Consider the following 24,064-nt stretch of genomic DNA (forward strand, 5'->3'; position numbering starts at 1 on the left):
TAACTTTTGGAGCCAGTTTTATACAGTGTTTAAAGTTTTCTCTGGCTAAAATTTAACCACATTTGGAAATTCTATGAACTTTTAAATGAGTGCTCTATCATTCTGTTATTCTATGGCCAGTTTTTTATAGCGATAACTGCAGCATCTTCTGATTTGCCCCCTCCCTATCCATTTCCATAGGTACAAATAACAGTACCTAGCCTGTCTTTACCTTTCCATAATCAGATACATCACAGCAAGAATTGTCTTTGAGTGCAATTTTATAATATGCTGTTTCTTTTACTTTTATACACATGCAGTGGCTCTTCCCTCATATTAAGTCCCTACTTTAATTTTGTGGCTCAGGACCTTCTACTGTTTCTCAAAACTATAGATTGCCCTCTGGGCTACATTCTAGCTTATATCCTTTATTCTACCCAAAAGGCACCTAATTCCTACTCCGCTTACCTCACTGTCCCTCCAGTTAGCTTATTTTTAAGCCATTGTATTCTATTCTCCATGTCTAGAAATTCTTCCCTCTTCATCTTAGCCATTGTTTCTTTCTTTCATATAAGCCTTTCCACTGAGGCACTGATCAAAATAACCTGTGGCTTTTCAGTATGTAAATGTGTTTATGAAGAACTACAGTGTAATCAGTTATGTCAACCAATTGATCAACTGTTTAATGATCACTATGTTCTTACAATGTGGTAAGCATTATAAAGATTAAAAAATAATTATCATAAAATATAGTTTTTTATATATTATAAAAATACATAAATTATTATAAAATATAGTTTTTGTCCTCAACTATGATATAATTATGACTTGAGTGCAGTATTAACATAATAAAATTCTAAATACTGTGATATAGATACAGTTAAATATGGTAGAACTCAGTGGGTTAAGAACACTGCTCTAAACCCTAAGGACATCCAGCATTCAGTCTCTTAAGCACCTTTTTTACATTCGATTATTGGTGTCCCTCCTTCAGGACTAACCCTACCACGTTCTAGCTTTCTGAGCTGTCCAATATGTTAGCCATTTGTCACATGCGACATGTGGCTAAGGAACATAAAACATGTGACTAGTGTGACTGAGGAACAGAAATTTAATTTCATTTGATTCCATTAATTAAAATTCAATTTAAAAATGAAAATTCAATTCAATTATTAGAAAACTTTTACATACGTTTGGAGCAACTTAGGTTCATAAATCTACTTTTCCATCTGTAAATTTTATAAATCTAAATAAAGGCCAGTATTACCAGTGAAAATTCATCACCAGAATTGAGATGTGCTATATGTGTCAACTGGATTGTGAAGACTTAGTAAAAAGAAAATAATGTAACATATCTCATTTTTAAAACATTGATTGCATGTTGAAATGATAGTATTTTGGATACATTGGGTTAAATGAAATACATTCCTAAATTTTATTTCACTTTTTTTTACTTTAAAAAATGTGACTACTAGAAAATTTGAAATTACACATATGGATTACATTACATCTCAATTAGACAACACTGTTCTAGATAAACCAGATCTGTCCTAGATTTGTACATGTCCCTGAACCCCAAGGCCAGCTATTTCTATGGTGTCTCTTGGTCACCCAGAGTTCTAGTGCATTTTGGCCTTCTGCTGATTCTACCATATTAATCTACAGGTAGGTTGTATTTAAAAACATAGTCCTGTATTATCATGTGCTACTGTAGTGAAATATAGTGAAATACAGACTTCTGCTCAGATGGCCCTTTTGCTGTTTGTCTATTGATCTAAATGTTTTTATTCCTTCTTGTTCACTCTTTTCTTTTGCTACAATGGCTTTGGTCTCTGTACTAGGCTTTCTTCTTCTTCCTCAATCTTGTGTGAGAAAATGAGTTGCTTTTGGCTTTAGCTTCTTGTCACAATCCTTCTATTTCTGGGACAAACTTGTTCTTGGCTTTGGGCCCTTCCTTTCTGCACCCCTCCCACTGTTGCAGGTCAACTAGAGGATAATGCGAACCTTCGGGGAAACTGCTCAGGTTCCATGTGCATAAATCTAAGCAACATAGGCAGCGTTGCACTCATGATATTTCCAGAGCATAAGGCTCTGGGGCCCTGTGCTTTTTAATTTTTATTTCCTTAAATCTACCGGACATGGTCTTTAAAATTCATGTTTGCCTCACCATCCCGTTATTTATCATTAATCAGATTTAGATCCAAACTGGCAATTTCCTTAGGCGATTCCTCTTTTCTTTGGAGATGAAGTCCAACATCCTTCTCATATCATTTAACATTCTACACCATTTGACCCCAACTGAGTTGTCCACTTTGACCTCCAGAACCTAACTGTAGCACATCATGGTCTCTTTCTTTCTTAGCTCTCCTACCATTAATTTTTTATACCACATTTATAATGTAGCTCGTTCTGATTTTCAGTTAAATAGAGAGAACCAAGTTAACTGAGTTATGAAACTGCAACAATAACAGTACAATAACAATAGTTGACATTCATATAGTGCTTAGTGTATGCTAGGCACTGTTCTAAACACTTTATATACTTCTACTCATTTCATCTTCCTTCGGTAACCTATAAGTGTTGTTATTATCTCATTTCACTGTGCGAAAGGTTGAAGTACAGCAGATCCTTGAATAACATAGTTTCTTTCAACATTATTTCATTTTAACACTGATGAGGAAAAAAAAACTTCACTCTGGCAGGGGCCACTGTGTGTGTAGAGTTTGCACATTCTCTCTCTGTCTGCTTGAGTTACCTCCAGGCACTCTGGATTCCTTCCACATCCCAGAGGCATGCGCATTAGGTGAATTGCATCTGCGTGGCCCCGGTGTGAGTGAGTGTGGGTGTGTGTGAGTGTGCCCTATGATGGAATGGTGTCCTGACCAGGGTGGTCCCAGACTTGCTCCCCTAGGTGCTAGGAGAGGCTCCAGCCATCCAAGGCCTGAACTGGAATAAGTGGGTAAACACTTATCATACTTGTTTTTGTTAATCTTTCTTAAATGTGTGTATTACTCACATTTATTTCAATGTTTAATACTAGAAGTGTTTAAGGTCTTTATTTAGAAGTTTAGTGATGTTTTGTGACCAGAAATATAGGAACTTATCTCTTTCTTATGTCAATAACCTGTGATAAAATGTTTTGCTTAAAGTTAGTTTCTGAGAACCTATGGATGATGACATTAAGGGAGGATTTACTGTACAGGGAAATTAAATAACATGTACAAGACCACATAGCTAATAAAGGGTAGAGCTAGTATTTCAACATAGGCAATCTAGCTTTAGAGTCTATGCTTATGTATTTGAGCTAAATTGTTTTGGAAACTTTGTCTCAGGCACTTTACATAGATTTTCTCATTTAATCTTCACAACAACCTGTGAGGAAAGCTATTAGAAGGTAAAGTAACAAAAAGAATTTTGGAAGTAAAAGAGATTCCACTGGACTAGACATATGGCAGTTACTCCCAAAACATTAGTTTTGATAGTGCCCTACATCAGAAGTCAGAAAACTACCAGTGTGCAGGCCAATTCTGGTCCACTACCTGTTTATGTAGATGAAGTCTTATTGGATCACAGTCATGCTTTTTCATATATGTGACAACTATGGCTACTTTTGCATTACAATGGTGGGATTGAGTAGTTGAGGGTGAGACTCTATGGCCCAAAGCCTAAAATATTTTCTGACTCTTTATAGAAAGGTTTGCCAACCCTTGCTCTGCAACATACCTGAAGAGTAAATGAACGCTGCTATTAATGTTAAGATTATACAATAAAAGAAGTGCTTGTTTACTGCTTCCTGCCCAAACACCCTTTTATTCCTTTTTTTTTTTTTTTTTGAGATAGAGTCTTGCTCTGTTGCCCAGGCTGGAGTGCAGTGGTGTCAACTCAGCTCACTGCAACCTCCGTCTCCTGGGTTCAAGTGATTCTCCTGCCTCAGACTCCCAAGTAGCTGGGATTAGAGGTGCACACCACCACACCCAGCTAATTTTTGTATTTTAGTACAGACAGGGTTTCACCATGTTGGCCAGGCTGTTCTCGAACTCCTGACCTCAAGTGATCCACCCAAGTCGGCCTTGCAAAGTGCTGGGATTACAGACGTGAGCCATGCCGCCTGGCCCCAAACCACTATTTGTTTAAAGACCTTCTTTATATTATCTGAGGGGACATTAGGTGCTTCACTAAGAACTAATGGTTTTATCACTTCCTGTGGCTCACGTCAGCAAAACAGCCCTTCGTCTCCCATATCATATTGATTCTTTCTATGGCAGGTGTCGTGCTATTTGATTAAATTGATATGTTCTCGAAAAGCTGATATAAATTAAAGTTTGGAACATTGAAACACATTTTCTGTTCATTTGTATTATAATTTATGTGATGTTTTATCTACTTGAAAGGACACATAACTCTTTATAAAATGTTATGTGGCTGCTCTTTCATGATGCCTTCTTTCCACTCCCCCCAAGTACTAGCACTGATGTTTCTGTCCACTTGTCATTGTTCTATAGAAAGAGTTGAATCCCACTGTGAAAGCTACTATTATAAAACAAAAAAACAGGTATAATGATTCATAAAATGAATAATCTTTTTCTGATGGAAATAATTGACCTATTGAATTTTAGTATTAACATTTTCTTAAACTGAGACACCCCTATTGTGAGCAACAATGAATGTTTATGAACTACCTCTTCTATTTAAAACATTGTATTAAGTAGTATTGATGATTTTTCATCATTATTATACTATACCAACCAATGGCAATGCTAAAATAATAAAAAACCATCTTTGTTATATTTATTAAAAAAAACCAATAAATTACAGGAGGACTAACCATGTACTGGCATTCCGCTAAGTGCTTAACATGTATATGACTTAATTATCCCTTTAACTCTATGAATTCAGTTGTATTTTTGTCCTCATTTTGCAATGCATACTTTGCAATGTCTACTTCATAATGTATATTTGACATTAATAGAGGAAAAAGAATACAATTGTTTGAAATTAAGTATGTAAAAGAAGGTTAATTGATGGGTTTCGTTAATTTTCTAAGTGATGTATAATGCTGTATATCTAAGAGTATTATGATTTTTTAAAAAGCTTTAGTGATACAGCTAAAAAACAAAGATTTCCATGAATAAAGGATTACATTTGGGATACTAGAAGCTATCTTTTTAAGACCAGAAAAATTGAAAAATGTGAGATGAAATCTGTATATTTGTGGGTCATTCATTCACTTTTTATTTAGCATTTATTTATTGAATATTTACTATAGTCCATTTTCTCATGAATCTTATAAACAGGGATGTATTCAACAAGCAAGTAAACATATTAAATTGACGATTATGAAAAGGGCTTCAAACAACATGAACAGAGTGGTGATGTAAATAACAATAGAGATGATCATATAGGTTAGACATAGGAGACTCCTCTGAGAGGAAAAAACTTAAGCTTGTAGCTTGAGAATGAAAAAGAGCCTGCCATGGAGAAGGTATGGGAGCGGGTGGCACATGTAGGTAGAAGGAATGGCATATTCTAAGAGTATCAGTTAGTCTTGGAGCTAACAAGGCAAGAGGTTGACTTTAAACTCATTGATCCATGAGCTTTTAAACTCATTTAAACTCATTGATCCATGGGCTTTTTCCCCTTCCAGGAGACACTTCTGTGGCCCATCCATCTTTGGGCTTCTACAAGGAAAATTACAAAAGTTTATTAAATGTTTCTATCATCAGAATAATTAGCAATTATTGTAACTGCATTTAAAAATAACTAAAATATTTATGTTAACTAACGTAGAAAATGTCTTTTTAAAAATGTCAAACTTTTATAATAATATGAATGCATTGTATACCCATCAGCAGACTCCTGGAGGGCCAAATGTAAGGTCACCATGGAGCAGTTATAATCCTTGTTCCTTAACTCAATTCCCAGCTCAGCATTCTGTCAACTCTGTTTGTTTAGGCAATTTACATAACCTCTCTGGGTTTTAGTTTACTCTTTAGCAAAACAAGGATAAAGATGTATATTTAAATATTACTATGAAAATTGTTTAAAATATTTTGAACGTAACTGACACACTGTGCTTGGCAAGAAGTAGGCATTCAAATATTAATTGTGATAGATCTTTTATGTATGTTAATAATAACAATGATTCATATTTATTGAGAACTTACTGTGTACCAGGTGGTTTTCAAGAATTTTCAATGTTCTTAACTCATTTTATCCTCACAAAAATTCTGTGAAATGATTCCACATGTTTTACATGTTTTCTTATCTCACATCTAAGGAACCTAAAGCTGGAGATTATGCAGCTTGCCCAAGATCACAGAGCCAGTAAATGGCAGAGCCAAGAATTCAACCCTGGTGGTCTGGCTTTGGAGCTTGTGCCCTTAATGACTACCTTTTAAGTATGTTTTCTCATATAAAAAGAAATTGTTGAAAACTGAATCTTGTCAGTTTCTCAGGTAAGCAGCACAAAGCAATGTAGTACTTTGGGGTGAAATCTGAAGCTAAGAGAATGTGCTTACTTCACACAACCAATGCAGGCAATGCATTCTGTTCATAAGTGACCTCTGCAGTAGATTAAGACCAGTTTTCAAAAGAAAAAAAAAAAGACAAATTGGCCATCAAGATATACAGCTTGTTATTATAAAGAGTCCTGAATGTGTATCACATAAGAGTTTCCAGAGCAATTTATTGTCAAACAGATAGCAGCATGTAAATTTCCAAGAATCAACCTGGCATCACTGGAAAAATCACACCCTTGAGGCCTGGGTATTGTAGACAGTTCCACAGCAGCTGAATCATAAAGACTTTTATAGATCAATAACCCTCAACCTTGCTGCATTACAAAGCATCTTCATCAACAAAGAGAGTTTCAGGGAGCCGCAAAAGCACAGTGGAATTATTGGAACAGGTGGGTTTTGTGTGTATGTATGTATTTTATTTTTCACAAGGTTATTGCTGGATAGATACATCATGACTTAATGTTGATATTCCAGAATAATGTAGAAAATGATACAATGTCTAAATACGTGTTACTGACTTTTTCCTCCTTTTCTGGGGCAATAGAATGCTTTTCATACACATCCTTAAATCTAAATAAAGGATAAGTTATTGGAATGCATTTAGTTTCAAACAACAATGTGTCCTAAATTTTTATTCTGAAACTTTTTGTGTCCTTGAGCCTTTGTTGCTTCACCTGTAAACTTTAAAACAATAATAACAGCTTTGTAAAGTTCTTAACCCCCAAAGACATATCTCATTGAGCTACTTATCTGAGAAAAATATGACTGAGATGATTTATTTCATGGTAATTTGTTCCAAGTAAAGTTTAGATTGCTGGTTATCTTTCTTTACCATATTGCCTAACATAAGAGAAACAAGTAAATTCTTACATATGTCTAATGAAAAAGCAAAAAGATTGTATTTTTTGAATGACGATGGTCTATTATTGCTGATCGTATGAGGCAGTGTTTGAAATATTATACAAAACGTTTAAGAGACATGTGAACTGAGGGTGATTTTTTAGGTTGCTTCCATCTCATTGTTGGATATTGATTAAGGAGTTTTCAAAGAAGAAATTTTGAGTGCCTATCATATGGCAGATGTTTTATAATTCGTGTAAGAATTTATATGTTTCACAATAGTTACAATGGTATTTTTATCTCTGTGCTTCAGGTGTAGTTTTGAGACTCAGGCTCTTAGCTAACTAGTTGAAGTTAACAAAGGCATTAAGTAGCAGAGTAGGAATTAGAACCTATATTTGTGTGAATTCCAAAGCTCTCCTTCCACTCCCTTACTGCCTCTCTGTTTTAATTGCTTTGGAGTAATCTCAGCATAATCTATTTGCTTTAATACTAATCATCTATTCTTGTGATTACATAATGTGGCATCTACAAAAGTTGACTATGATGTGGTTGATTTGGCCCAGTGTGTATACACCCAGATGCTTATATTTAAGATGAGGTCTGTAGCCACAGATAGTTTAACTGATTTGACTGGTTAATATAGCAAAAACAAGCAAAAGAAAAAAAAATCCCTTTAACATTGTTTTTAACTGAATTTACCAGTTAACTTAATTAAAACATTAGACCTGGAAAATACATGTATGGCCAAACTAAATATTTACACTTACATAATAATATAGAAATACTAAATTATATCTACCCTATTTATTAAAATATAACTGTTGAATTTAATAGTAAATATAATCAACTATGACATGAAGAAATTGTTTTATAATGGCAATGAAGATTGTATAAAATCGATTAGATATGAACATTGAAATATTTTTGGGTAAAATGACACGATGTCTGGAATTTGCTATAAAATATTCCAGCAAAGAATAAAACAATAAAAGGAACATGATTGGTGAAAAATTGATAAAGCTGAGTGATGAGTAGGTACATAGAGTTCATCTTTTTCACACATGTGAAACTTCCACCATAAAGAGCTTGGAAAAACAATCAACTAATTCTATATACACTAGGTTGAGGCAAAGAAACAAGATAACTTTGATTGCTTTGATTGAATATGGGTTTAGAATTTTAGCAGTTTCATGTGTTGTTAAAAGGCATCCAGAATGCATATTCTCAGGACGCACTGATACTTTTCAATGTTTTAATAAGATATAATTTAATGATATAAAGGTATGAATTTCAGGAAAACATGATATTGTATATCCCTGACCAAAAGAGACCTGGCTTTGGGATCACATTTACATTCAAATTTTTATTCCCTTGAACATAGCACTATAGTATGACTTTAGTACAAATATTGTGTGTTTCTCATTTAATTTTAATAAAAACTAAGACTTTCTCTGGAATAATATTTATATCCTAAAGAATGATGGCATATTGCTTCATTGTATGTCATTAGCCCTTCATAATTTTTTTCTTTTGTTCATCATTTAAAATGTCATTAAAACAATTACAGCCTACACTCTGCTGAATCATATAATTGGAGATGTCTTATTAAGATGAGATTTACTGTATAACTTTATTTTTAATATACGAGAAACCAACATTTTTTAGTTTTATGCTTTTAAAATGTGCAAATGAATGAGTTCTCTCTCCTTTATTGCTAAAAGAATAGTTTTAATTACTTGCGTTTTTTTCACTCATTTTTTGAGAGCATTTTTTTTAATCACCAAATTAAATCAGCAGATTTTCTATTAAGCCTCTTTCTTTGGCCTTAGGCAAATTGTGAGGTAAATTTGATTGTGGTTCCCTGCAAGCCTTCCTTCTGCAGTTTATCTCTTTCTTGTGGCATTCCTTTCCTCCCAGGAGCATCAAAGTATCATTAGAGTTGAAGCTTGCTTTCCTTCGCTGCTGGCTTCTCCTCCAGTCTCTGAATCTCTGTCTTCACTCAATCTTTCCAAAAAATGAGGAATCAATTGCAAGTAGCCAATGCATCTATTTGGCATCTTGCTAATGAATATTAGCAGTTTAAAGGTTAGCATGCCTTGGTAGGTCTTCAAGGGAGTGCAGGAGTTCCAAGCCACACTTTCTTCATCTGTCAGTTTTAACCCAGATAAGCAACTTAATTTTCATATTAAATCAAACAGATATATTGGGGAGCAGGAGGCACAATTTGCATTCATGTTAAAGCAATATTAGAAGACTTCAAAGAAATTTCAGATGGGAGATGGGTTGCTTTGGGAGATGCCCTCCAACTCCAGGGTGTATGTATTCACTCTTCAGTTTCGTCCTGACCAGTGATGCCTCTGTGGAAAAGTTTGAGAAGGGCCAGAATGTGACCTCTCTCATGTACATTTATGTTCTCTCTTGGTTTTAATAACGTGGCCTTTATGGCATTCTAAAAAATGGTGGAAATATAGATACTTTTGAAAAGGATGAGGATCTTACTACTTTCAAATTGCTTGTTTATAGTTACTTTCACTTATAGAGATTCTGGGGCATTGATCACATATGTATTTTGCTATTAATCTGACTTATTCAGAACACTTATAGAGATCAGATATCTAGAGCACATGAACAAATCATTACTCTAGAGAGACATGGTCATTGCCTTTTAGCAATGTACACCGTATCAAGGAAAATTATAGAACAAAACCAAAAATCTATGTGTGCAATACTGTATAGGATCAAGAGCTAGTTGATATAGCTGACACCAACAATTCTCCAATATTTTATGGAAATTAGAGGAAAGGCATGCTTCAGAACAGGGATATAAATGACACATTCTTCCTTTTTCATGTCCTATATGAAATATATTAAAAAGTGCACCTTGTTCTAAAGTTTACTTTTCTTTTAATTATTTTTAAAAAACAGCATCTGAAAGATAAAAAATGTATCAAAAATAGAACAATATTTTCTTGACTGAAATTCCATTGTACTCTAAATGATTTTCTCATTAATACTGAGAGCCTTATTAATCCAAAAATTGGACTTGAAAATTAATACAAAAATAAATGGAAATGTAAAATAAAGTATGTTAAATGAACATTTCACTGGAATAGATGCCTGCCAGTGGGTTAAAAACAAGAATCTCTGAGTCTGAATTTTCATTTAGTCTTTTGTATTATAGTTAATATGAAAATTAAAAAAAATAGAGGGAAACAGAAGGCTCTTTGCTGGAAAATTGAGTTCCTTGGGGAAAAGAAAACAACAGGAGAGAGACCAATTTAGTCAGGGCAAGTTATAATACACCAATCATGATGATTGATCCTGCGCAAGCAGAAGGCACATGGAAACAATTTAAATGTTGTCCATGAAACTACTGCTTTCAGACCTCATGGGATTTTATTTATCAGGATCACTGATTTCAGAGGCACCGTAGAGCCAGGAAAGAATAAGAGGTTTGGAACGTTGTTCTTTGGGATTCAAGGTGGAAAATGTACAAAAAGAAGGGAAGCAGTTGGTATCACTTCTTGTCTCTTTGTCTACTGCTTCTGTAACAGAATTTTCCTCTGAACCTTATATTCAATGCTTAATTTGAATAGTCCATGTAGTTGCATTTTGAGAATTTGGAAAAGGCATTTTAGTTAGCGCCCCATCCTGTCCCTGTATTCTTTTTCTTTAGCTAACTCCAATTCTGTCTGGCAGGTAGGAATTCATTTAGGTGGGCTGCTTTTTAAAAACTAAACAAAAAACAGTCATTACTACTATTATGCAGGTTTTACATATAAATACTCTGTTTTGAAAAATGACTCTTTCTTGGAGTCACTTGAAGGTAAAACAGCCTATGTTTATACATGCACATTTTTCTCCCTTACACATATGGAAGAAAAGTAAAACCGTTGCAAAATTATGACACTTTCAAGCAAATTCTTTTTATGATTAATTTCTTGCTTTTATTTAAGATAGATTCTCCCCCAATGTTTATATTTTGATTTTGAGGGAAAAAGTAACATTTTTGATGATGCCATTTAGTAAAGGGATTATCTGATTCTCTAAGGTTCTTGGGGCCCATTGGGCTCAGGCAGGAATTTTTTGGTAGTATGCTAGACTGATTCTGATTGTGAAGATTGTCAGACACCTGTGATTGATTGAAAGGAAGAAAAGCATTCCTCTCAGCTGCTAGTAGAATAGGATGTTTATTTTTAGTTGACTTACTTTTTTTTTTTTTACAAAAATGGCAAAATTGGTGATTTGACTAAATTGACTCATTCAGAACACTTATAGAGATCAGATATCCAGAGCACATGAACAAATCCTTTTCTTTAGTTTTGCATTGGTATCTGAATGCTGGCTTTCCTGTTTACTGGATTAACATCACTAAACTTTAGCTTTGCCATCTAAAATGAAGAATAATAATACTACTTGCCTCATAGAGTTTTTGTGTTATTTAAATGAGATAATTTGGGAGGCCAGCATCAACAGCTTCAAGATGAAGCTGAACATCTTCTTCCCAGCCACTGGCTGCCAGAAACTCATTTAAGTGATTGATGAATGCAAAATTCTTACTTTTTATGAGAAGCGTATGGCCACAGAAGTAGCTGCTGACGCTCCGGGTGAAGAATGGAAGGGCTACGTTGTTTGAATAAATGATGGGAACGACAAACAAAGTTTCCCTATGAAGCAGTGTGTCTTGACCCATGGCTGTGTCCACCTGCTACTGAGTAAGGGGCATTCCTGTTACAGACCAAGGAGAACTAGAGAAAGAAAGCGAAATCTGTTAGTGGTTACGTTGTAGATGCCAATCTGAGCGTTCTCAACTTGAGAGAAGGATATTCCTGGACTGACTGGTACTACGGTGCCTTGTTGCCTGGGGCCCAAAAGAGCTAGCAGAATCCACAAACTTTTCAATTTCCCTAAAGATGATGTCTGTGAGCATGTTGTAAGAAAGCCCTTCAACAAAGAAGGTAAGAAACCTAGGACCGAAGCACAGAAGATTCAGCGTCTTACTACTCCATGTGTCCTGCAGCACAAACAGTGGCGTATTGCTCTGAAGAAGCAGCATACTAAAAAAATCAGGAAGAGGCTGCAGAATATGCTAAACTTTCGGCCAAGAGAATGAAAGAGGCTGAAGAGAAGCACCAGGAACAGAGTGCCAAGAGATGCAGACTCTTCTCTCAGCGAGCTTCTACTTCTGTCTGAATCCAGTCAAAAATAAGATTTTTTTGAGTAACAAATAAGATCAGACTAAAACAAAAATAAATGAGGTAATTTATGACTCTAATGCCTAGGTCGTAAACATTAGCTATTATCATTCAGATTCATAATTATATATCTAGATTTCTATTCTCCTTGTAGGAACAGAGTGAAAATGCCAAATTGCTTATGGAGAGAGAGAGGAAGGCATTTCTTCTTTCATTATAGAGATTGAGAAGCTTGGACACAGGGCATTCGTGGACACGGTTATCTACTACGTGGCTTCTTTTTCCGTTTTGTTTCTACCATCCACATTTCTCCACCCCTAACCTTGCCAGGCTCTTCTCTTTTCCTGTGTCTGCTTTCTCCTTGCTTATACTCCTCTTCCTCCTTGTTACTTGAAATTCCGTAAAATATTTTTTCTTCCCTGGGCCTTTGGACATGCTGTTCTCTCTGAGTGGGATGGTCTTTCCCTCCAATCCCTCTGTTCATTGAATTTGAAACTATTATTCAAAGCAACATGTCTTACTTCTATATTTTCTGATTCACTACTGGGTGTTCTTTGCCCTTCTGTGAGCACCACTTGTATTCTGAACCTCTCTTCAAACCATTTCTTGAACTGCGATATTGGTTATTTATGTACTTGATTTTATATACAGACCAAATTGCATATTCTCTCTGGGTAATGGCATAGGAAAATGACATAGGTAGGCAGTATGAAGAGATCCCTTCAATAACCATTTCCAAATAACTATAAGGAAATGCTAATAGATATGAAAGGAATGCTGCTGACTTACTTTGAGGAAACTACAAGTACATCAACGTGGTAATATCAAAGGGAATCTTAGAATGACAGGATTTTAGAGAGGATCTTAGGAGGATGATAACAGGAAAACATTTAACTTCTCAGGGATTAAATTTCTCACAGAACTGGATTTCCATGCGGATGCTCTATCACATCTTCCCTGGCCATGAGTTCTCTGCCTTCTCAACCCTTGACTTCCAGGGTCTTCCTCAATAATAAAGCCTAATGTGGATTCTTTCTGGGGATAATTATCCACCAAAGATGGGAAGGTACCATGGATAGCCTAGAAATTTATGAATCTCTAGTCCATTTTGTTGCCCACCTTGTGCTCCACTGAGTGACATCAGTGGCTGTGGGACATACTCTGCCATGAGGCAGACAGTAAATTGACACCACATCCACTTTCCAGAGTCCTGAATAAATAAGTGGGGGGCCAGGAGAAGAGCATATGCTCTTGATGTCTTAGTTAGCATTTAAGTTATTCTTAGATATAAAATAATATATATGGCAGGCTCTATCCCCCAGCTTATTTGGTGCACAACAGTCTTTCACTCAGCAACCAAGCTGGAAATTGTGCTCCTATTCTCACTCAGCTCCTCCCACTCCCTGGTGCTACTCAGTGGACCTCCTGGATATCTAATCTACTCTGTACACTTGTCAGCATCCCTGCCTACGTCTATGCCTGCGCTAGCTTTGTAACTAAACTGAATGATGCTTTCACTCTAATCTATTTTTTTCACTCAGACAGGAGTTCTTTTTCTAGGATCCAATTGTTTTATGGCATTACCCTAGTAAAAACTGCCAAGAGCTTCCACCTTCTTATAGGATTTTGTCATGTAACCCCCTTCCCAATCTGGCTAGTTTGTGTTTTCCTATTCCTAAGATCCTCTCTGAGATCCTGTCATTCTAAGATTCCCTTTGATTTTCCACATTGATGTACTTGTAGTTTTCTCAAAACAGCATGTCATTTCATATCTCTTAGCATTTCCGTGTCTTGTTACCTGCCAAGAATGCCTTACCCTGAACCCTACTCTCCTTTACCCAGCTAGTTCCTACTTATTGTTTAAGATCAGCTTCAAATGAAATCTTCCCCTTTATATTTCTGTGTATCTACAACACTGGGTGTTAATACATTACAGTATTTCTCACATTAAATTCTAGCCATTTGCACAGTTCTCTCTCACTAGACTCTGAGCTATTCATTTTTATAATCCCACCTTCCCACACATTTCAACCATCTTTTCTTCAATCCCTAGCAGTAGCTATTATATAGTAGATGCTTAATTTACTCAAAAATTAAATCGAACTGTTAAATAAGAATGACTACAATTTAAATAAAATATTTAAATATTTTAAATGAATAAATTAATTTTAGAATAAATATACTGAAAATTCTATTAATGTGAACCCTAATTGACCAGTTCATTTCATAGAAGAGTTCTCAGTTATATTCCTCAAATAAATTTCCTAAATAAGAGCAGCTAAATTATATTTTCTTTTTAAGTTATAAACACTTGAAGTTCTCAAGTTGAAAAACTTGGATTATATTAATGATCATGCATAATGTATAAAATGATCACTTATAAAGTTAATTTTTAAAAGTTTGTAGATTAACAAAGCAGATCTACTGACTTTTGCTAATGTTCTAGCTAGTGAACTGGACTTTGTAATCCAATTAAAATGTTTGTTTTTTTTTAAAAAAAACTCCAAACTTTCTGTGTCTCTGGAGTGCTCAGCTATAGTGTATGATTAGTTAAGAAAACATGCATATGATCACTTAGTTGGTTTGCCTTTAAGTCTCAGCTTTTCATTTTTGAAATTATCTTAAACAGTATTTAGACTTTGGAGTCCTGTACTGTTTTTCAAGTGTTAATGGAAAAAAAAAAAACAAAAAACAAAAAACTTCAAAGACCTGGGCCCTTTAGTTAAAAAAAAAAATAATCTGAAAGTTCTCACAGTTATTGGAGATTTATCTGGTTTAGCAGAAATTGTTTGAGTTGTACGGTCATCTTATTGATTTTTTATTTTTTTTCAACAAGATTACTCATTGGAGACTAGGAGTTCTTGATATCCAATTTTAGTACCTCATCTTTCCTCTACCTGCAAAAAAGGATTTTTTAAAATGCTGTTTGAGCATTTTAAAATTTTTGGAAAATAGTTTTCTGAATATCCAGCATTAGTTTTTCACTTCTGTTTCTTTGGGCAGAAATGAAGATTATGAAGAAAACTGCCGAAGAAGAGTTAAATAATCACCCTTTTCTGAGCCAAACCCAGGGCCTCTTGGTTTGGGTGAGATCAAGTATCAGCACAACATTTTTTAATTTGTGTCCTTTAAAAGGGTTCTTTTCAGGACACTGTGAGGAATGTGAGGTTTGGCTTCCTTTTTCACGTAGGAAGTGCTGAAAGGAACACTTTATGCCTTTTATGACTATATGTCTCATGAAGAATTTTTAACTTTGTCATGGTGTACAACTAGAATAGTATTTATTAACTTTTAGCTCGATAGAGCTGTGTGCATCTACAGCCAGGCCCAGCTACTCCTCCTCCATCAGGTGCTCCTATATCCATCTCCTTTATTCCCTCCATCTGACCAGTTGCCACTCCTATTGGTTTCATTTGAAACGCCTCTAAAACACACCCTTTCTCACCCAGGCCTTTCTATCTTTTCCTCCTCATTCCTTGTTCTCTCTGGTTTAAACCATTCTTCACACAGCTCTTACTCATCTTCACCCCTTTTCCAAAATGTCCCAATTTATCATACAAATTGAAACGGTTTTGCCTAGTTTACAAAATGCTCCTTAATCTGTTCCTATTGTCTATACCCCGTCTTGATTGTTACTGCTCTTTTGAACCTACTCACAAATTTCCTGTTTCCCAAAGTAGTGAATTTTGGCGCATACTTCAGAGTCAGAGCTGTTTGTTAAAAAATATACATTGCTGACTTCAAATTTTGGGTTCCAGCTTGGGAATCTGCATTTAAGTGGATTCTTCCAAGTGATTCTTATGTGCATTAAAGTAGAAAGTCTCTGCCCACTTGCCTCTCCTGTCCTCACTGACTCTGCTTCTCTTTAAATTCTAGAAAACATGCCTCTTCTGCATAGGGTGAAGTCTCCAACACATGTTCACTTGTGCTGCTTTCTGATGATTTGTGTTTCTGCAACTGGAGTATAAGCTCCCTGAGGCAGGGGTCATGTTTGTATTGTATGATGAGGCAGAAAGATCACTGGGCTGGAAGTTGGACAAGTTGACCTTTATTGCAGTTTCTACCTATGAGGACAAACATGGGATCTTACCATCTCAGTTTGCTCATAGGTGAGGGTGAGAACTGGCAGCAATGATGTCTAAGTTCCTCTGTGCTCTAAAAGCTGCAGTGTCACAGTTACAGAAAGGTCAAGAGCTTCAAATCTTAGCTCTGCCATTAGCTGTGTAATTTTAAGCAAGGAATAATTTCTTCATGTCTTCAATGGGGGGGGTAACATATACCTTCTGAGGTTGCTATGAAGGTAATACATGTAAAGTGCCTGGCACAATGCTTATATGTAATGATATTTGCATATTATTATTCCGTGTTCTCCCACACCTCTCCTGGTGCTGGATAAAGACAGGCTATGACTTATTGGAAGATCACACTCTTTTAGGACACTGTCCTCTTGCATAGCTTCTATCTGTAGACAGTTTAGTTCAATGATAAAACATGAAACTGATTAGGTGCACACTTGGCTCCACTGCTTAATAACTCAGTGACCCTTGTGCTTGTTATTTTAACTTTTTTGAAATGGAAACTCAAATACTGTCTTTACCATAAAGTTGTTGTGAGGTTTAAATGAAATAACACATTTAAATGCCCAGCCAGTGCTTAACCCAGAGCGAACGTTAGCGACTATTAATACTTCTGCCTAGGGTTAGCCTGATTCAGATGAAAGCACACTGCTCTGAGACTCAAAAGACCTGCATTTGAGTCCTGAAATAGCCATTATCTCACATGATTTTCGACGGGTTATGGTATCTGCCTAAACTTTAGTTTCCTGCTCTGCAAAATAATAGTAACCCATTCCGTAGGGCAGCAAAAGAATTAGATAAGGAAATGCATGGGAAAATATTTTCATAAGGTGAAGTGCTACACCAGGCATTACTTATATTTATTGTTATTATCTTCTCTGTATCCATAAAACGAAGGAATTAAATAAAATAATAGCCAATTACTTTATTGTTTATTTAAAATGTACCAGGTTACAAGCATTTAATCCTCTCACTTAATCCTCACAAAATCCACTGTATATATTATAATTCCTCTTTTACAGCTGTGGAAATTGAGGTTCAGAGAAGCCAAATAACTTGCTCAAGGACTCACACCCAGTTGCAAAATTGGAACTGAAAACCAGGAAAATCGACACCAAAGAGCAAACCCTCAACCACTCTTAGATTTCTAAGATCCCTTCCAGCCAAGCAATCCTGTTCTCTTGGTCATGGCTCTTCACAGAGAGATTGGGCCTGGTGGTTGGAAAAACATGTTGGGAGCTTTCCAATTGAGTGGAAGAACCCCTGGAGTTTTAGAACAAAACCAAGTAGCTGTTAGATGGCTACACTTTGCCTTCACTGCAGGTTCCTGATTCTTTATGGTTGGACATAGAAGCTCCCGGGACCCTGCAGCCCTGCCTGCATCTCCACGGACTGGAGAAAGCCCAACTGTTTAAGTTTCCTCACAGAGAAGACTCTGGCTTCTGCCTCTCCTTAATTTTGTCAATTGCATTTCTTTATTTCAATGCCAATCTAGTCAGAGGTTTCTTCTGCTTCAGCTTCCATAAGCTTAACACCTTTCCACATCACGACTGTGACTGTTTTTCTTGTGATGACACATTTTAAATCTGGCATGTGTTTGTGTTTACCAAGTTACTAAAACCCCATTCAACGAAACGGACTCCCGAAATCTTATCTTTTTGTTTGTTTGTTTGAGATGAGGAGTCTCGCTCGGTCGCCCAGGCTCGAGTGCAGCGGTGCGATCTCGGCTCACTGCGACCTCTCCCTCCCGGGTTCACGCCATTCTCCTGCCTCAGCCTCCGGAGTAGCTGGGACTACAAGCGCCCGCCACCACACCCGACCATTTTTTTTTTCTATTTTTAGTAGAGACGGGGTTTCACTGTGTTAGCCAGGATGGTCTCAATCTCCTGACCTCATGTGATCCTCCCGCCTCGGCCTCCTAGGGTGCTGGGATTACAGGTGTGGACCACCGCGCCTGGCCCTGAACTCTTATATATTTTTCAATGATTTTTCCATTAAGTTGATAATTAAGTCCCCACAGTACTCCTTTCTCCACCTTTACCTTGTCTCACGTACAATGGTTTTTAAAAGTCCAAGTGTCTGATGATGTGCATCAGTGCTGAGACGTATTATCTCCGTCTGACTTTTGAACAACTATAGGTGGATTTATGTGGTTTTTCGCACGTTTACTGTAAACTCGGTAGCTACTGAGAATTATGGTTGATTCTTATGTAGCACTTGTAAATTTGCCAAGTGCTTTTATATATATTTTAGATCTCAACAGTATTATCCCCATTCTGTAAATGAGGAAACTGAGGTTCAGAGTGGTGAAGGGCTCTGCTCTAGGTCACAAAATAGAGTTGTTGGGACTCGAATATGTTTATTGAGTCCAGGTCTCATATTCTTTGCATTACACCACTCTCCCTATATATTTTCTAATCCCTAACTGGTCTAACTTGCAAAACGAGATTATGTAATTATGGCAGAAATACCTTACATTGACATAGTGTTTTATAATGCACTCATATCTCATTTGATCTTCACAGCAACCTTTGAGTGAGATTCTTTCTTACAGGTAAGGAAACTAAGGTTCAAGGGAGCTAGATGGCTTGCCCAAATTCACACAGCTAATCAGAAGCATAACCAGAATTATATTCTTCGTGGTTTTTATACTCTGCCAACCTGCTGATTGTGACTTGGATAATAAGATACTTTAATCCCCATTTGTTTTATTAAAAAAAGATAGGGAAACCAAAGATTAATACGAAGAAACCAGTCACCATCAAATCACATTCGCAATTATATATTTTCTTTTAAAGTTCTGTAATTGAAAATATTCTTTTAAAGATCTGTTTTAAAATTTAAGAATAATGATAGGGATTTAAGTTAATGATTGAAAAAAGCCCCTCCTTTTTTCTTTTAAGAAATGATAGAATTATTCTATTATCATATTCATAAGATAGCCCAAAATGGGCTTTTGATTAGGATTGCAATTAATGACTGAAGACATCTGAAATTTATATTCTTTCACTAATTAATTAATTTTTTCAATCATTATTCAACAACTGCATTGTAGCAAGTGCTATGCAACAATTGCTGCATTAATTATTACAAAAGAGAATTTGAGATACATTTATAAACAAACCAAAATCAAGGCAGAGTTAGGTAGTTTGGCCTCCAGTGCATATGGGATTAGACTTTATGTCATTCTTTATTATTTCCACGAAAATAACAATGTAGATTAGCATCACTCCAGCTTCATTTCATTTAAGCCAAAAGGGGAAAAAAGTTCAGTTTGTAGTTGGATAGTCTTTATTCCTCTATTTTGTAGCTATATAATTTCCTTTTCTTCCCCGCTTACCTTGCTGTGTGTGAGTGGGTGCCTTATTTGGGGTTTATTTTTATTTTTAAAAATTCTGTATTGTATCTATAAGGAAAAATATACACATTGAATAAAATTGCATTAAAAATTAACTTTACATTGTTGCTTTAGAGGTTTGGAATTTGATTTTTTTAAGAGAATTAGAATTTAATTAATTAAGGAAAACAGGAGAGAGTATTTGGCTCATATGCCACATGCTAATCTATACATCCAGAAAAACATACCAATCTAAGTTAAGAAGAAAGACAGCCTGACAGTGAGTGGGATAGTTTTAAGAGTGAGTCTCATCCGAGGCCAGAAAGGCACACATCAGCCAGGGTCAGCCTGATGGCTCTCAGCAGCTCTATGGGTCTCCTGTCATCTCATCAATTCTTCTCCTGACCCTACTTTTTAGGCTTCCATTCAATGCAAAAAATAAGTCTATAATTGCACAATCTGAATGAGAAACAAACAAGTCCTAAGCAAGTCCTTATTTGTTCAATTTAGAAACAGCATCTCTGGGTGACCCCAAGCGCAACATTGGCCAAAGGAGCTACTCTCCATTTTCACTTTATGTCGATCATTTTTTGCTGGTGTAAAAATTTTGATTTCCATATTTATATGTAGAAAGTAATAGAATTTTAATTGGCCTGACATGTTAAGAATTTCTGTAAACTAACATTGGGGTTTTCTTTGAATATCAAATGTTACCTGTGGAAATGGAATACTCTTAACTCTCACACAATGTAGTTAATTCATGGGCCTTTGACAAGACTGTAATGCTGGGAGACTCCTCATAGCAAGAAGTGATTTCTTCATTGAGAATCGAGAAAAACGTTCATGACTCCAGAACAACACTTTCTTTTTAATGAGAGAATATTTCTCCTTTGACTATAACTTTAATTAAACTCTATTAACTTTAATTTAATTTAAGCTATTAAATAGTTCAAATGCTATTAAACTCAAAGAACATATTTTTTTAAAAGGTATTTAGTTCCTGGGCATTTTTCCTTAATCTCACACAGCCTTAATTACTATGCACTTATTGTTAAGTATATCATAAAATAAAATATAATGTATAAATTGCATTAATCTCTATAAAAGTAAACTTGAGGCAGAGCCATAAACTAACCAAAATCAGAGGTACAATAAAAAGGCAAGGTACATAAAACATCTTCAAACACTTGGACCTCCATGGATGGTGAACAGATTTTATTGCATTCCTCTATTATTTCCCTAGAAATTAGAACAGACTTTTCATGTATGGTGCATTATTATGTAATATTCTCATTCTATTATCTTTTTATCCTGCCCTATTTTATATTCTTTATTCTTTTATTCTATATTCTTTTTATCCTGCCCTATTTTAATGTCTTTTCCCCAAAGTAGAGCTTCTCTGAATCTGTAATAATTTTCAGAAGTTTGCCAAGTCATATATTCTCCTTTCATAATTACTCGTATAATTATGACACCCTGGCACATATTAGTAACCAGGGAAATGGGGTTATTTAATTATATGCTAATGAACATTTGCAATTATACAATTTTTTAAATCCATAGGAAATTAAGAAAATGCTTTTCATCAAGCAGAGTATTGCTTGAAATCTATTTTTTTCAATAATACAGCAGATTAAATCACTAAATAAAAAGTTTCATTGTCATAGAAGCTATGAATGTTAACTCTCAGAATATGGAATCTTTGATTCTTGGATTGAAATCAATTTTGGATGTCCTCAAGTTCAATTTTTCTATGGCTTCAATAACAGATGTTTTATTAAACCTTTTCTAATTTGCAGTACACACTTGTTAATGAGACGTTGCTTAAATACCTCCAGGGATGTAATGTTTACCGTCAAAGAAGGCTGCCTGTTCTGATGCTGAACAGTGCTAATGATTAGCAGATATCTCTTGAGCACCTAATATGTGCAAGACATTCTTCTAGACATGATGTAGAATATAAATTTAAGTCAGAATTTACTTTTGTACATAAAGTGCTGACACTCAAGTAGAAGATATCAGAAGTCTACATTAAAAATGGCATGATTGGACCACAATATACACACTGCTCACATGCCAGTTTAGATTTTATATGCTCTGACCTCCACTAAACAGTTGAAGCAATTGCTCGCTCATTAGGGCAGAGATAATTCCATGCCACTCATCATAGCCTTTACTTTCAACTTTATCTCCGCTAGGTCCCCCAAGCTGCATCTCTTTGAGTTTACACTTGAACCTTCTCTTCCTGCCCAGCAACTTTTAATTGACAGCATATTTGCACAGGTGTCTGGGAATTTGATTTGGCACTTCCCAGAGGCTCTTGTGCCTGACTGCACTTTCAGTTCTTTGTCACTTCCTTGACTGGGCAAACAGTCACCACCCACCTGTTCAATTCCAGAACATTCTGGCACAGGTGCCAGTCCAGCCTCAGTGCTCCAGCCCTGCTGCAGCCAGCGAAGCCAAGTACATATTTCATGGAGAATAGTCAGTCATAAACGCTGTGGAAAACTGAATGAAAGTTCTCTTTTGAGAGGGTCCATTTTACTGTTGGAAAGCCCTTCTGGTAAAGGCAAGAACGACCAACCTTTTCAAATATGGAGATCACTTTTAACATCCAAACGCAAATGTCCAGTCACCTGTTAGCAGTTATACTGTGGCCTCTCTTGATAAACTAATAGTAACAATAACAATAATATAAGTTAAACATATTCAAAATACTATTATGTTATTTTCTATTTTATTGATTCTAATCTTTTTATTTTTTAAAACAGTGGCACTTATGCTAGTGAGATATATTATTCCTTCCAATTGTTGGCAGTGCTTTTTGTTAGTAGCTTTATTAAACGCTGGTAGTAATTCCATGTACTCCTGAGAATACATATTTCATAGAATTTGAACCAGATGATGATAAAAATACAATATGGACACATATTATGCAAGCTGATTATACACATTATCTCCTTTAGTCTTCAAAACCACTCTATGGGATTTGCACTATCACACTTTATTTTATGGGTGAGGAAACAGGTTTACAGAGAATGAACAACTGCCCTGGTCATAGAGTTATAGGTGACAAAGCTGGGGTTTGGCTCCAGGCTGGTCTGTCTTCAGGGTCCCTACTCTGTGACTATGCAATGGTGTTGCTCCAGCACCAGGAAGGTGGTTGCAAACAAAGGTAAGAAAGTCTGAGGTGGCTGAGAGTAAGAACTGAATTGAGAGTTACCACCATCCCCAGCCCAGCTGCCTCTGTTGTGCTAGCTGATATGTCAACCAGTCTTTAAACTAACAGGAACTGAAAGAAATTTATTTCAGTTTCCTAAAACAGCCACTGAGGCAACTTAAATTTTGAGTTTCAGGTGATTTTATTCATCCATACATGTTTGTTTACTTAGAGCTTTCAAGGTGTATGTCTATAGAATGATAAGCATCTAGGTTATCTGAACACATCCCTTGGTTTTATCTTCTAACCAAAACAAGATCATTATATAATTATTAACTTGGGTCTTCCAAGTGAAAACAAGGACAGTAAGAAGTTCCAATTATAACAAAGTATATGATGTTTCGTGGATCATAAACAGGAGAAGCAAATGAAATAGGAGTTAAAGAGGAAGGTGGTGTTATTTTGGCCTTACTATGTCAGATAATGCTTTATGTAAAAATAAGTTGGCATTTTTCCTGCACGTTGAATAATAGTTAAGCCTTGGGAATTTAGTGTTGATAAGGGGATGGGCCTCTAGATAGAAGGAACTTTCATTTATCATGAAAACCAGGACCTATTGCAGAGTAAATGGGGGCAGATTTAATAATTACAACAAAGCGATGAAAACACTGGGACTGTTCTGGTTAAACTGGCAGGTGGTCACTCAAACTATAGAGGAAAGGGTACAATAGCTAGCTCTATTGGCTACAACAAGGGAAGAGAATAGTAAAGAATAAAATGAGAAAAGTGCATTGGAATCATATTGTGAGGACCTTGAATGTCAGGCAGTATTTTATGGACAAAGTTTAGTCACTGAAAATTTGTGAATAGATGGATGTGTGATATAAACTGAACTGTCTTCCAGAGAGATGAATTTGACAGTAGAGAGTAAGATGAATTGAAGAGGGCAGATAATG

At 35.8% G+C, this 24,064-nt stretch overlaps 1 long non-coding RNA gene and 1 pseudogene across 1 annotated transcript in view; both read left to right on the forward strand.

The window, feature by feature from the left end:
• Nucleotides 1-24,064, forward strand: part of LRIG3-DT (LRIG3 divergent transcript) — a 210,172-nt gene that overhangs the window by 87,642 nt on the left and 98,466 nt on the right. The gene's annotated exons all lie outside the window — the stretch shown is intronic.
• On the forward strand, nt 11,799-12,580 carry RPS6P22 (ribosomal protein S6 pseudogene 22; annotated as a pseudogene).

Source organism: Homo sapiens, chromosome 12 (assembly GCF_000001405.40).
Source record: "Homo sapiens chromosome 12, GRCh38.p14 Primary Assembly".
NCBI lineage: Eukaryota > Metazoa > Chordata > Mammalia > Primates > Hominidae > Homo > Homo sapiens.